The sequence below is a fragment of the Homo sapiens genome, chromosome 22 (genome assembly GCF_000001405.40).
Source record: "Homo sapiens chromosome 22, GRCh38.p14 Primary Assembly".
NCBI classification, from domain to species: Eukaryota; Metazoa; Chordata; class Mammalia; order Primates; family Hominidae; genus Homo; species Homo sapiens.
The window spans coordinates 43,416,297-43,431,282 of record NC_000022.11 but is presented as its reverse complement, the minus strand read 5'-3'; the positions used below and the strand labels follow the sequence as shown (position 1 = coordinate 43,431,282).

At 53.6% G+C, this 14,986-nt stretch overlaps 1 protein-coding gene across 2 annotated transcripts in view, besides 1 other annotated feature; it reads right to left on the bottom strand.

Moving 5' to 3' along the window:
• MPPED1 (metallophosphoesterase domain containing 1) overlaps nt 1-14,986 on the bottom strand; it is a 95,835-nt gene that overhangs the window by 76,566 nt on the left and 4,283 nt on the right. Inside the window, exons 1-2 of one of the 2 annotated variants that reach the window (NM_001362786.2) lie at nt 14,269-14,731; nt 6,074-6,375 (exon numbers count right to left, since the gene is read on the bottom strand). In NM_001362786.2, the coding sequence (NP_001349715.1) occupies nt 6,074-6,297 (224 nt within the window). In that variant the 5' untranslated portion in view covers nt 6,298-6,375; nt 14,269-14,731. Of the gene's footprint in view, nt 1-6,073; nt 6,376-14,268; nt 14,732-14,986 lie in introns of those variants that run through there. The other variant, NM_001044370.2, reaches the window with a different exon arrangement.
• Nucleotides 2,983-3,484: an enhancer, noted in NCBI's record as "H3K4me1 hESC enhancer chr22:43823805-43824306 (GRCh37/hg19 assembly coordinates)". NCBI's record gives its function as "activates a minimal SCP1, AML or CMV promoter by ChIP-STARR-seq in naive and primed H9 embryonic stem cells {active_cell/tissue: H9 hESC(naive and primed)}" and the evidence as "EXISTENCE:reporter gene assay evidence [ECO:0000049][PMID:30033119]".

Genomic DNA, 14,986 nt, shown 5'->3' with positions numbered 1-14,986 from the left:
TCACTTGAGGTCAGGAGTTCAAGACCAGCCTGGCCAACATGGTGAAACGTCGTCTCTACTAAAAATATAAAAAATTAGCTTGGTGTGGTGGCAGGCGCCTGTAGTGTCAGCTACTATGGAGGCTGAGACAGGAGAATCGCTTGAACCCGGGAGGCGGAAGTTACAGTGAGCTGAGATCGCACCACTGCACTCCAGCCTGGGCGACAGAGTGAGACTCTGTCTAAAAAAAAAAAAAAAAAAAAAAAAAAAAAAAAAAAAAAATTAACAACAACAGTAGAAAGAGACAGTGAACAAGAGGGCATAATTTGAAGATCCAGCTATACCTGAAGCTAGACCCAAGCTTGAAATTCTTAATATGGGCCAGTAGACTCCTTTTCATCCTTAAGGCAACTTAAGTTGTGTTTCTGATACTTGCAATGACAATGAAAAGTTAGTCCATGCCCAAGCTCCCAGCTACTAAGTTAAAGAGTGGAATTTAAACCCAGGACTTCACAACAGGAATCTGGGCGTCTAATCTCAACACTTTGTGACTCCCCCCCAAAAAAAAAGTGCAAAATGGTTCTTTCTCAGTGACATTCTGCAGGGACCAGAGATAAGACGTGGAAGCAAAGGCTTCTTATTTCTTGGAGCCAAACTCAACTTCCCCAAAGCTTCTGCCTACTGGGGTGGTTCTGAGACCTGACACCCATCTCAAGCTCTCCCCAGCCTACACCGATCTTCTTCCCATGGGATTCCTGGCAGCAGGAACAGCACAGAGGAGAGAACACGGCCTCCGACGCCAGACCCCAGGCTGGCACCCCAGCTCAGTGACCTCCTCCTTGCTGTGCCCCTGGACCCCACCAGGCTCCAGCCCTGCTCTGTAGGGTGGGGACAAGCCACTCCCTCTTTGTCATGTTGTGAGAACTTCACCAACCTTCACAGCTGGAGCCCTGATGCCAACACCCCTGCAGTGCACTCTGGATCCTGCTCTTGGTTCTTTCTCTCCCATAAGCCACTGGTTCTGTGCAAGTGCAGTTCCTGGCGCCAAAAGCCCAGAGAGGCATCAGAAGCAGAGGCTGTTACCCCTCGTAACCCTATTCCTGCAGACATGGGGTGCTCTGAAGGTCCAGGCAGGGACAGCTTCTAACAACTCATCCAGCCGTGTGACTGGGCATCAGCCTTTCCTTTAGTAGGAAAGGACCTCTAGTCCCTTCCTCTCATTTTACAAATGGGGAAACTGAGGCCTGGGGAGGCACAATGACTGGCTGGATCAGCATCACACAACAACTGCCCCAACCGCTTGCCCAGTACTCTTCCCACAAAGCACTGCGTCCAAGGGGACCCTGGCCACAGTACCCTCCTGCATCCCCACACCTGTCCTTCCTTCCCACATCCTGGCCTCTGCTCTTGCTGGTCCCTCTTCCTAAAGTGGCCCACTCCACGGAGGCCACAGTGCAGCTGGTCCTCCACACCCAGGGATTATGCCACCCCCACCCCCACAGAAAGTCCTCCGTGATCCCTGACACTCCTTCTGAGTCTTGCCGCCTGTCCCGTTCTCACTCTCTTCTCTTTCCTGCTTCCTATTCCCTGTGCTAGGCACCAGGCATGCAGCCCCATGCTTGTGGAGGGGAGAGATGCTTGGGAAATCCTCCTACAAATGAATGTGTCAGCACAGAATGAATCAGGTGCCACAAAGCGTGGGCCACAAGGCCCAGTGCTGAGCACCTAGAGCTGGAGCGGGAAAGACTTCCCTGAGGTGGTGACACCTGGGTGAGATCTGAAGGAGGAGTCAGTGCTCACAGGGCAAAAAGCTGGGATCAGAGGGAACAGCATGGGCAAAGACCTGAGGCAGGAGGAAGACTGGAATGTTTGAGAAACTGGAAGCAGCCACCGCATCTGTTGCCCAGCAGGACAGGATGAGAGCCAGGCAGTGCCGGGGTGTGAGTCCTCCCCACCTGCTTTGCTCCTTGTCCCCCTCCCTGCACTCCAGGCTGAGCTCCATGTCTCCAGGAGCCTCTCAGTGTGTGGAAAGGCCAAGGAGCCACACAGCACTGGGTGGGAATCCCAGCTCCCCACACTCACCTTCCAAAACCTTAGCATCCTCATCTGTAGAGAGGGTGTCCACATTGACCTGAGACAGCAGGAAAGGCCAGGAACAAGGCACAAAGGGACTACTCTAGGCCTGGCACGCAGCTGTGGCCTTCCATCCCACTCTGCTGTAGCTTCAAGGACCCGGTGCAGCCTGAGGGGCTCGAAGGGCCTTTAAGCGATGACTCAAGTCTCTGCCATAACGACTTTTAAAGGTCAGAGAGGAGTTGCTGTGCCTGGTGCCATGGCCCTGGGGACTTCAGTGAGAGCTCCAGGATAACCCTGTCCCCCAACACTCACTCTTGCCTTCTTACTGACCACCAGGCCAGTGGTCCGCCTACCCACCCAGAGCAGAAGGGCTGGGCCTGGAAGAGCCTCCTGAGACCCCCATAGGGTTTCTCAGTCACCGGGGCAAGGAGTCTTCAGCCTTGCTCACAACCTAGAGGCCCAGCTCCGGAGATTCATTACCCAAGCAAAGGCGGCCTCGTCACCAGCAGAGTCTCTGGGGGCAACTGCATAAATCACAGGACTCAACCAGAGGCCATGTTTGGACTGTCACTGTTGTTATTAAATATAAATTGTGGATTTATTAAATAAGGCTCCATCGCTCCCTCACCCCGGAGACAAAGCCCAGGGTGGCAACAAATCACATGTCGGGAAGTGGCAGCCATCCCCCCACCGCTCCTGGGAGGGAGCAGCCGACTCGCCATGGAAATCCATTCAGCCACCACCAGCAGCCTCCATGCTTCCGAGCTCGGGGTGTGGAGTCTGAATGAAGGGGCAGTGGGAGGCAGCAGCCCCCTCATCCCTGTGCCCACCCTGGCTTTACCCAGCTGTGTGCAAAGTTGTGTTTCAAAGCTGGAGCTCGGAGCATGCTCCCTCCAGGGTCCCACCCAAACCCCAGCTGCCTCGGAGTCAGCAGAAGCCGGGAACTCTCCCCTCTGCCGGAGGTGGTGGTGCAGAGCAGTCCAGGATGGGGTGGGGCAGGCCAGGTGTGAATCCTTGCGGGGCCTGCTCCAGCTCCCCAGCTAAGCTCCTTCTCCATAGCACTTACCATCACCAGCATCACACGCTTTCATGACCATCTGCTAACTGCCTGCCATCCACTGGATGTAAGCTCAGCACAGGCAGGGGTGCCTTCGATCACTGCTGGGTCCCAAGCACCTCACCAGGCCTGGCATGTGCTACCAATGCTGAACGCTTGCTGCCCACCGCGCCTTCTCTACGAGGATTTAACTATTTCATCCCCAGCATTACTGTGCGCAGCGTTTTTTTCACCCCCGAAGAACCAGTTTTCACCCCTTGGAGGTGCTGTTTCCTCCACTGAGAATGCATGGACTAGTGTCACGGGGGGTGAGGACCAGCTTTCCGAGCTATGCAGAGCGCATGCGCCATCCAAGGAGGGCGGCACGGCAAGGGGAATTTCAGGGGAACATGTGGTCCCTCGACCTGGAGTAGCCAGCTCCAGGTTGGCGAAACTGAGGCACCAAGCAGCATGAACCCCATCCAAGCAGGCAAGCTCAGCGCCCAAGGTCCTAAACAGTGAGAAACTCAGCAGCTCACAGACATCCCAAATGCGTGAATGAATGACTCAACAAATGAATGAATGGCCCTGGGTTGCTCGGTTAAATGGGGTAGATCACCCCCTCTCATTCAGTCATTCACCACCCTCCCTCAGGACGCAGCCCGGCCTGCAGGGGCCTGTGGTGTCTCCTGCACGCCCCCAACCCCTGCTGCCTGCCCAGCTGGGCCTCCATACAGTTCTCAGAGACCCCTGTCTTCTAGCCACCTGCAGGCTCCGACCTGCCGCCCCTTCTGCTGGCCCACTTCCTCCTCACACCCTCTCCCAACTTGCTACGCCTATTCCTCCTGCTCTGGCCTTCACCTAGAAATTACCCAGTTCTCCAGGGGGTCTTTCCTGGATCCCTTGAAACTGGGAAGCACCTCCTCAGCCCCCACTCTCTGTCTTCCTCTTTCCCTGGCTCAGTTCTCTGACTAGGAGCTCCCTAAGTGTGTGCCTGGCCCAGGCAGGGGCACCGTGATTGACAGCTGTCCATGGTCCCACTGTATGTGGTGCTGGGACCCTCACAAACCCCACCTGCCCTGGGAGGCCTTGCTGCTCTCTCCTTGCCCACTGGGCAGGAGTTCAGCCTGGCCTCCGGGGACCTCAGGCTCAGTCACCTCTGACCCACCCAGTTGGAGGATGAACCTCACCAGCAAAAGACAAAACCCAGCCCAGGGAAGGCCCCCATCCCTGCAGCCCCTCCCAGGCCTCAAGTCTCACAGACCGAGGAGCGGCAAGCCTGAGGCCCGGGGCCTTCCTTCCTGCCCAAACCCGCCAATCGGGCTCCAAAAACAGAAAACCAGAGGCAGCAGCCCAGATAGAAATCTACCAAAAAATAAAGTAGGCAGCCACAGGCAACACTAGCCCTGTGGCCCCACACGGAGACAAGCATTTTCCTGGGCAAGTGCCACTGGAAGAGGGCGATCCCCGCCTGGAGCCTGCTGCCCTGCAGAGCCCTTCCCTGCAGCTCCCTCTCCCCACAACAGAGGCCAGGCCTGAGGGAGGCCACACAGGGACGGGAGGTCGCGCCCTCACACACACCCCACCAGGCCAGGGTTTCGAAACCCCGTCAACTCCTTCTCCGAGTGGTCCGAGGGACAGCGGCTGGGATGCCACAAGCACCGCTGCCCTAAGATGGAGATCACAGCCCCAGAGGCGGCCCAGGGCCTGGACCCTTTTTGGGGCACCAGACTCACGGGCAGTCTGGAGGGCTTCCCGTAGGCCCTACAGCACTGGATCAGCCCCTGTCATAGCTCCCCCCTCCCTGTGCTGTCACCTCCCTGCTCTGCAGGGGTCATCCCTCATCCAGACCCAGCTTGGGGGTGGGCACCCAGAGTGGCCGGGTGAAGGTACAACAGCCAAGGGGACAATGGCCTCCGCTCTCAAGCAGAAGCATGAACATCCACACACATCACAGCCTGAGGATGCGGGAGGCCCAGCAAGGAGAGCCCCGGGCTGGACTCAGGAAGCCTGGGTTCAACTCCAGCTCTGGCATCTGCCAGCAGGGTGGGGCACCTCACGGGCCTGGGCCCCTGGTTCCTCACCAGGTAAGCTCTGTCGTGCAGGGCTCATGGGAGAAGCAATGGGGATAAAGGAGGAGGGGGGCTCCAGGAACTCAGGGAACCACCCAGAGCAGGGCCAGGAGCTCGACCACCTCTGGAGCCACCCCAAGCTACCCACAGCTTTCCAGGTCCTCGGGAAATCCAGAGAGGGAAAGGCTGGCCCCGCACACAGGCATCAGGACAAGTCCTCCTGCTGCTCACGGGGGCCTTGAGTCTGTGTGCTCCCCAGGGCCTCACTGCTTGAGCACCCCCAATGCCCCGAGGGGCAGACAACAGAATCCCCCAGTCCTTTTGGAAAAGCATCTCTGCTTTCACAAGAGAAGCACAGGGTCTGGACAAAAGGAAGGGCAGGGAGGGGAAACAAAGAGCCCAAGACTGGTGTCCTAACCTGCCATGGGGCTTGTGGCGAGCCCCTTCCCCTCTCTGGGGCTCGGTCTCCCCATGTGTACAATGAGGAGCGTAAATCAGACCAGGGGTCGCCACCCAAATGCCAAGAAAGGGATCGGGAATGTGGCCCCCGCCAGACGCTGCCAGGAGGACATGTGGGCCTGGGGTTTCCAGGCCTTTGGGTTTTATAAAGTGAAGCCAGAAGTCTGGAGTTTTCTGTGCATCCACCTCATCTTTAAATATTTGTAAAACATGCTCCTGGCCAAGTGAAACAGGACTGCGGCCAGAATCGGCCCACAGGCCATCCATCTGCAACTTCTTGCCGGTCCCTCCCAACTCAGAGCCCCGATGATCCTAGAATTCCAGAATTGTTGCAGTCAACAAACATTCAATGCTTGTTACAGTGCCCCCAGAACCAGGAGGCACCCGAGACCATGCACCCACCCCAGGGGGCCGTCACCGCCCCCACCCCCACCCCACCGGTCCCACTTACATCTGCACATGCGGTGGCTGGAAGCGGCCCTGGTTGATGTTGTAGAAGGTGAAGGCCTGGGTGGGGTTGGAGCTGTACTCGTCCACCTCGATGATGAGCCGGCTGTGCTGGTGCCGCCGAGCGGCCATCACGTGGGACTGGGAGAATGCCATGCCCAGGCCGCAGGGGAGGAGGGCCAGGGCCTCCGCCTTCAGGACGCTGGCATCCCACCTAGAGCGCCACATGGACCTCCGCCGGCCGCCCCGGCATCTCCCACCGCTGCCGCCACCGCAGCCCGGCCCCCCGCCAGACCTGGAAACAGACTGAGGAGACGGAGCAGAACCGTGCGACAGTTAATCTGTTTGGGATTTGCTTTATTTAATGTCAGATGAAGATTTAGAAAGAGGGAGAGGGCGGGGGGAGAGGAAAAAAAAACACAGTCGTACAGCTCAAAAACTCATTACAAATCTTTCCAACTCAGCAGTTTGATGAATATACTTTGGTAAAAAGAAAAGGGAAGGGAGGGAGGGGACAAGAAAAAAAAGAAAAAAAAACAACCCACAGCACTGTGGACGGATGCATGCATGGCTCAACGTGTTTAAATACTTAAGACATTTTTTTTTTCCTTCAACAAAATCCTCCCGAGCCTACAGGGTGACAGTGAGCTGGGGTAAGACAATGGCTGGTATTTTGTAAACAGGTGAGTTAAGTTTTACTTTTCAGAATTGGGGAACAGGAAGGATTCTCCTACAACCCTCCCCCATCCTCCACAGACCCCCAAACACACCCACATGGCCCCACGCCCACACCCCTGCAAGCCTGAGCAGGTGGAGACAGCACGGGCGAAAATTCCTCCCTCGACATCGATTTCATCTAAAGATATCTTTTAGTGGTGCCCTGAGAAGGGATTTTCCCAGACATAGATGGTCACATACCCACTGGCTCAGGGATGGTAGTGCAGGTAGGGGCAGAGATGGTGAGGGAGGAGGAACCTTTTGCAAAAACCTCCTCCGATGCCTCACTACCATCTCTCTCGTAAGGATCTCGGGAACCCTAATGTGCCCCGTCAATCTTTGAATTGCAGCTTGAGAATGCTGCAATATTTTTCAAATCTTTTTCACGGGGAAGTGCAGTTTGCATTTATATTTACTGGACTTAAATATCCCTCCAACCGACCCCACCTTGGGGTCAGTGTAGAACTCTGTAGAAACTTGGAAATGCAGGCCCCAGGTGAGGCCCCATCCTACCCCAACACACAGCACAATGGCCGACGCCTCGTTAGTCAGACCATTGAGTTGTCTTGTTCCTTTTCATAATTATTTTTTAAACTGTGTAAATGGGAAATGCCTTGAAGACTTTTTGTCGTTGTTTTCAGTTTGGGTCATTAAGACCCTCCAACGATTCCTTTTGCGCTGTATTTAACCAAGGAGAAAATAACATCATTTAAACTATTCCTGGACACTCATATCGCAATCACATTAAATGAAGAAAAATCCCCTTTGCTTTGCGCTTGGAAGAAGAATCGACACAGTCAGAAAACAAATTAGATTAGGAAAAAGACAAAAATTAGAGACTGGAGAACATTTTAATTATGTGCAAAGGAGAAATGGGTTATTAATTTTTTTAAATCTTGATCATCTCCCTAGAAGGTGAAATAAATAGCAATATCCTCCTTCTCCCACAGACCTCTAAAGACACTTCCTGATTCCCAAAACATATCCCTCTTCTCCACCTGCAGAGACAAGGGGGAAAAAAATCTCCCTTTTCCTGGGGACACACTTGCGCCATTGTTTTGTCCTGTGGGTTGTTTCAAAGTGAATTGGCTCTCCCTGCAGGTGCTACGCAACAGAACTGTAGGTGGGGGAGCAGGGGCCTGCACCCCTCTTGTCTGTAACTGCTGCCCGGCACCCAGAAGGCCTGGGAAAGGGCTCAGGGCACCAGATGCCAAGTTTCAGGACGCCGCATACTCTGAGCCAGGCCCGCCCAGATCTGGACGGGGGTCAAGCCCCAGCATGGCTGACTTGCTGTGTGACCTTAAGCCAACTTCCTAACTTCCCTGAGCCTCCAGCTTCCTCTTCTAGAAGATGGATTTGAGGCCCGGTGCAGTGGCTCACACCCGTAATCCCAGCACTTCGGGAGGCTGAGACGGGCGGATCACCTGAGGTCAAGAGTTTGAGACCAGCCTGGCCAACATAGTGAAACCCCCTCTCCACTAAAAACACAAAAATTAGCCGGGCACTGTGGTGCACACCTGTAATCCCAGCTACTTGAGAGGGTGAGGCAGGAGAATTGCTTGAACCCAGAAGGCAGAGGTTGCAGTGAGCCGAGACAGCGCCACTGCACTCCAGCCTTGAGACTCTATCTCAAAAAAAAGAAAGAAAAGATTTGATAGTAGCAATGCCACCTCCTGGGGGTTGTGCAGGTTAAATGAAGAAGTAAGCAGGAATCCTGAGTACAATGCCTGGTGGGTCCCAGGCGCCGGCTCACCTCAGCTGTGATGGTCACAGTCACTATTCTGCTCAATTTGATCCTTGCATATTGAGGAGCTGCTGTCAGCAGGTGCTGCCTGAGTACTGGACACCCTTGGTACGAGGGTGTCAAGTGCGAACCAAGGGGCCAGTTCCAGGAGCAAGGGGTGCCAGACAGGCCCTGGAGAACTCAAATATTTCTCAAATGCAAGCTGACCACATCACATCTCTACTTGAAATCCTTGCGGTGGCTTCTCTGATAAAATCCCTTGACCATAAGACCCTGCATGGTCTGGCCCTACGACTGGTCTGGCCTCTACTTGAGCCACACAGGCCGGCCCCCGGTGGCCTCTTGCACCTGGAGGCCTACAGCTCACAGGGGCCATGCTCTTGTTCAGAGCCACACAAGTCCAACACTTTTTGAGAGTCTTCCTCTGTAATGCTCACCACTAAGAGACAGATATTGATGCCCATGTCTCATGTTTGACAAATGATCAAGGGTACATCCCACAGAAGTGACGTCTCATTGCACAGAGAGTAGGTGGCAGGGCTGGGCCCCCAGACCTAGCTGCCTGGCTTCCGCCTCTGCCCTCCTCTCCCGCTGGCTGAAGCTGACACCCTTCCTCTCAGCAATGCCGGGGTCTCCTCGGAGAGGCCTGGATCTGGGGCCTTCATTTCAGGGTCCCAGGAAGAGCCCGGATGTCCCCTGAGGGCAGGGTCGGGCTCCCCCCTTGTGCACCCCATGTGTCAGCTCCGGCCCCCAGCAGCTCTGTGACCCTGAGCAAGCGGCTGAACCTCCAGAAGCTCTGTTTCCTCTTCTACAAAATGGAAAGAAAAACAGTCCCTACCTTGTAGAGTCATGAATATTCAATGAGATGACACATGTAAGCTGCTGATCACAGAGCCTAGCAGACAGTAAGTGGTCAATAAATGTTAGCTAATATTATTGTTATAACATGATCACCCCACGGCCTATCACAAATACTTCATCAGTAGTATTAGTGGATGGATGGAGGCAGGGAGGGAGAAACGGATGGATGGAGGCATGGATGCAGAGACGATGAGGGGACAGAAGGACATACAGAATGTCTGGAGACTTTGCCTGGTGCCCAGCAGAGGCTTGGCAGAGGGTGGGTGTCAGGAGAGCTTAGCTGAAGACCGAAGAGTCACTGCCCCCTCTCCATCTTACCCACCTTGCATATCCAGCAAGGAGGCTGCCAGGCTGGCACAGCCCTTGTGAAAAGGGGTTCCAGGGGCCCCCACCCGTCTTTGCCCCAGAGGAGCAGGCGCTAGCATGCAGACAGCCTGCAGTCGAGGGAGAACCGCTCTGCACCAAAGGGACTCAGCCGGGAAAGGCAGGCGGCAAGGCTCCCGGAGGCGCTCCGCGCTGAAATGCTGCATTTCACATAAAGGGGGTTCGCAACGGGCCCTGCTCAGAGAAATCCGGGAAACTGGAAACGCAACGGCTTCTTTTAATGCCCATTTAATATTTATGGAGCCGCAGCAGCACGTTAGCCACCGTGCGAGGAGGCGAGCATTCTCCGCCGTGCAGCCGATCCACGGAGGAGGCGCAGCATCTCCCAAACAAACAGCTTTGAGCTAGGAAGCGTTTACACCCGGTCCTCAAAACAGCACAGCACGCGAGCGATGCAGTGGTGCCCCGGGACCCGCCGCAGGGAGACCGCCTGGGCTCCCAGCCTGGCTCTCAGTCCAGCGGAGTGACCTTAAGCAAGTCATGCATCCTGATGGGGCTGCAGATGCCTCCCCAAAATGGAACTACGGGGGAGGATGGATGGATGGAATGAATGAATGAACGCATGACTTATTCAACAACCATTAGCCAAGGCCCTACATGCTCTCCCTGTTCCAGGTGCCAGAAAGGGCAATGGAAAAACAAAGAGGCTCCTGCCCTTGAGGAACATGGGACGGGGTGGAGGGGGGACAATAAAGTAAACAAAGAATTAAACAGAAAAGACACTTTCAGCTAATAATCAGTACCTGGAAAAAGACAGAACAGGGTGATGGTTTGACTAAATTGGGTGATCAAGAAAGGTCTATCTGGGCTGGGCATGGTGGCTCACACCTGCAATCCCAGCACTTTGGGACGCCGAGGCGGGAGGATCACCTGAGGTCGGGAGTTCGAGACCAGCCTGACCAACATGGAGAAACCCTGTCTCTACTAAAAATACAAACAGCCAGGCGTGGTGGTGGGCGCCTGTAATCCCAGCTACTCGGGAGGGTGAGGTAGAAGAATCACATGAACCGGGGAGGTGGAGGTTGCATTCAGCCGAGATCGTGCCACTGCACTCCAGCCTGGGTAACAGAGTGAGACTCCATCTCAAAAAAAAAAAAAATGTCTATCTGAAGCGGCATCACCTCACACACCAATGACACCCCGACCTGGGGAATGAGAACCTGGGCAGAGGGAGGGGAAGTGCTAAGTCCCTGAGGCCTGGGCGGCCTGGATAAGTGGCCTCACTCTTTCGTTGTCATGGGTCACTGGCATGCTTCTGCCATGGAGGACAGCCTGGACTCTGAAGTCAGAGAAAGAAGGGTTCCCATTAAATTCCATCTCAGGCTGCTGAGCGGTAGGACACTGGGAAAGTCACTCAACCTCTCTGTTTCCACTTCTTCAGTGGTCCCCTTGAGGGGTTACAGAGGGGCTGGAACAAACCTTGTACCTGCCCATAAAGGCCCAGTGAACCCAGAGTGGGAGACTCCAGGTCCCCGCAGCCCAGCACTCCTTGAAAAATTCCCTCTGGTTCTAAGGGCTTGCTTTTCCAAAGTCTGATTCTCTTATCAGATGGTTTCTCTTTCCGTTTTCCTCTCAGAGACATTTATTTGTTGTTCCTTGGGTACTGTGAGTCCAGTGAGGCCAGGGTGCTCCAAGGAGAACCTGGGTGTCAGCCAAGACACCAAGGAGCAGGTCCCATTTGACGCCAACTGTATGGAAAGCTGGTGTCTAGGAAAGAGGTCCGACTCCAGGACCCACCTCTCTGTGCCTCTCTCTGACCACCCCCCACCCCCAAACTTGTCTGGTCTCCTGGCGGTCTTGACCCCCCATCACCATGGTCACACCACACCGGCCTCCCGAAGGAATGTCCTAGAACTCACCTCTGCCCGTGCCATTCCCTCTGGCACACCCAGCACCCTCTAGAGCAGCTGCCGCCCTCAGGTGAACTCAGCACCTCAGGTCAGCTCAGGAGGCTGCACCTGGCCCCAGCCCCACTCCCACTTCTCAGGCCCGGCTCAGTCATGCAGGCTTTCCCTGGCACAGAGGGGGTCCTGCCTTGAAGCCTCCACGAATGCTATTCCCTCTGTCCAGAAGGCCCTGCACCCAACCCCACCCCTGCGTTCACCCTCGTTTCCTGACACAAGCCCACTCAGTCTCAGAAAGCTCAGAGCCTCAGAAACACCTTCCCTGACCTCCCCTGGCTGGGTCAGGAGCCTCCACCCACAGCCCCCAAGGCTTCCTGTAACAAAACTCCCAACACACAGTCGGCTTTTTATCTGAACTGAATGAAACGCCAAAGAATAAAATGATATGTGAATGAATGAATGAGAGAAACTACACAGGCCTTTGAGTCTGACAGCAGGACTCAAAAGCAGCTTTGCCCCCCTTAATCTTAGTTTTTCACCTACAAACATGTGGATTCTCAATCCTTCCTTCCTGGGCTGCTGGAGCACTGAAGGACACAGGAGATTCAAAAGCCCCTGCCAGGGCCTAGCACACAGGAGGTGCTCACTCCATGTCTCTTCCCCTCTAGTTAGAAAGTTCTGATGAACTCAGAAGCTCCCCAGGGAAATTTCAAGAATGCAGAAGGGATTTTCAAGCAACCCCTCCTCTCCTGCCTGAAAGCCCATGGTGCCTGGCCCCTTCCTTCTCGCCCCACCGAGTAAGACTCTGAGGCTTTGACTTCCCAGGGAGTTGTGGCTGGACACGTCCACTACAACCCACCCTTGACACGTTTTTCTAGGCAAATTCTTCACCACCACCCCCATCTGGACACTGCAGGGCACTGGTCAGCCCCAACGCACCCACTGCTGCTCCTGCTCTGGGCCAGATCCTGTTCTGGGAGCCACAGGACCCAGACACGAAACTAGCCCTCCAAGGGCTCAGACCCGGCGAACCAGCCAGGCAGAAAACAGACCTCCTCAGAACTCTATTTTGAGGAGTTGCAGTGGAGGGGGTCTGTGGGCCCCTAAGAAGGCCCCCACCAAACAGCGAGGCCAGCCAGTGTGTGCTGAAGGCCCAGGAAGGAGAGAGAGAGAGGCCTTGGCTCACACAGAGCATCTCAGCAGCAGATGAATGTTTGCAAAAGAGATGCTTGGATCATTCTGGTGGCCCCTCTCTGTCCGAAGATGTGTGAGGAAGATCTTGGAGGATTGCACTACCAGAGGAGCTGCTGCCCTGCAGACCAAAGATAGATTTTGCTTCACCGTGTGACTTGAAGCATCACTTCCAGCCAACACAGGCCTCTCAAACTCAGCGCAGGCCCAGGACAGCCCCAGTTCACATCTGCTGTCCCTGTGCCACTATTACCAGCATCCTCTCCGGCTCTCGAAAGTGCTCTCGTTTGGAAGGAAAAGGTCACTCTGATCAAAGCCAGTGCCAGGCCGGTAAGGCAGCCATCCCCAGAACACACCTGTGTTTCTCTTCCATTCATCGGCAGCTCTTTAACAATCACTGGGGGGCTAGCATAATATGGTGCTGTCCTGGGTCCAAAACTCGGATGACAGTCAATGAGCACACAGAAACGACTGTCTTATTAAGCATGAGAAGCTTCCAGAGAAACATCTCCCCCAACAGCCATCCCCGCTGCGGCGTTCTGAGGAACCCCACCTTGGAAAGCTTTCACCAGGATCCTAGACGCACCTTGGCTCCGTCTCCTCTTGGGGCCTTTAACTGAGAGTAGGAGCGACTGAATAGCCCCAGCCTCTCTGATGGGACAGCCAAAAGTGCAGCTGCCTGTCTTCAGGCCGGTGGCTCAGGGCGATGCAGAGAAAAAGCCGGCTTGGCTCAGCAAAGGCAGTGCTTACTAGGGCTTTTGTTGCAATGTGGCGAAATGTCACAGAGAAACCACACTAACCCTTCCTAAGTGGTCCCTGCAAGCAAAATGCAGGAGATAATATTTAACAGAAAAGTACCAAGGTGTGGGGGTCTGGGGAGAATTGTTTTACAAGCGACAATTCCCACACAAGCTCAAAAATCACTTTTAAATCATATTTTCTTTCCTTGTTTTGCCTCTGCTTGAAAATATGCAATTGATGAGCCCATAGTAGAAAATGCCATAAAAGGAAAAAAAAAAAAAAAAGCAGAGGGACTCAAAGGAAAAGAAGCAAATACCCCAATGGGAGAAAAAAAATCAGACCTCGTCCCACCATGTCCTAAAATGACAGACCTTTGTGTTTGATCTCCTTCCCAATCAAGTGTGGGATCCCAAGGAAAAGAAACACTGGCCAGCAGCTGGTATTATCAGCTAAGCTGAATAAGCTGATGAGTTCAGTAGATGAAGGAATCCACAAATAAAGTGAAAATTAGCCCCTATTCCTTGCAAAAGGATCAACCACAGTGACTTTAAAGCATTTACCACTTAAAAACCTTTTAGCTGGGCCCATTTTGAATTATGACTACATGATTTTAAATTACACTTTCTAATTCCTCACCACCGCCACCCCCCAGCAGTCTCTGCCGCTTCATTTTCCAATTATGTACTTTTATTTCGGAATATGAAGAGTGCTACTTACTGGATCATGTCCTGTCTGCCACAAATAGCTGCTCACTTATTCCTTTAATTTTAGCTATGAATGCAGTCGGCTCGCCGGGCTTGTCTTCAAATTCTGAATATTCTCCATTCCCATTGCACAGAACGAGCCCCGAGACGCAAAGAAACACACAAAGCTCGGGCAGAGAAATATGTTTGTAAACCAGTGCTCTACTCCATAAATTATTATAATTCTTGGTGCTTTCTATATCCATCTAGCAGATCAGCGATCACATAAATAATAGCAAGTGGACTGATTTTTCTTCTGCAAAGTGCTACGTCCTAGTTTTCAAAATAAAGCACTTGGAGAGTCACGTATCTATGGAGTTGAAATGGGAAGCTGTTCAGATCTGTTTCAAACATGCACACAGACATATCCACACACAAAAGGAAATAGGAGGTAAATGTGTAAAACTCAGCATCGTGTCCCCTTCCCGCTTATATATCAAGTCACACTCAACAGGAATGGGGGTTTAGCACATACATGGCTAGGGAGGGGAAGAGGCTAGAGGGCTGTGGTTGCTCAGGATTCAAATACAATTTGCAAAGAAAGTAAATGTGGATTTACAGTTCTTGTGGAAATCTATTAAACAGATGTCACTGAAGCATAATCAAATCAGCACTATGGCAATTCTACACTTAAGTCTGATATTGGGGTTTTGCCATTTTTATGATCAGTTCAAGTGTATGTTTTGTGATGG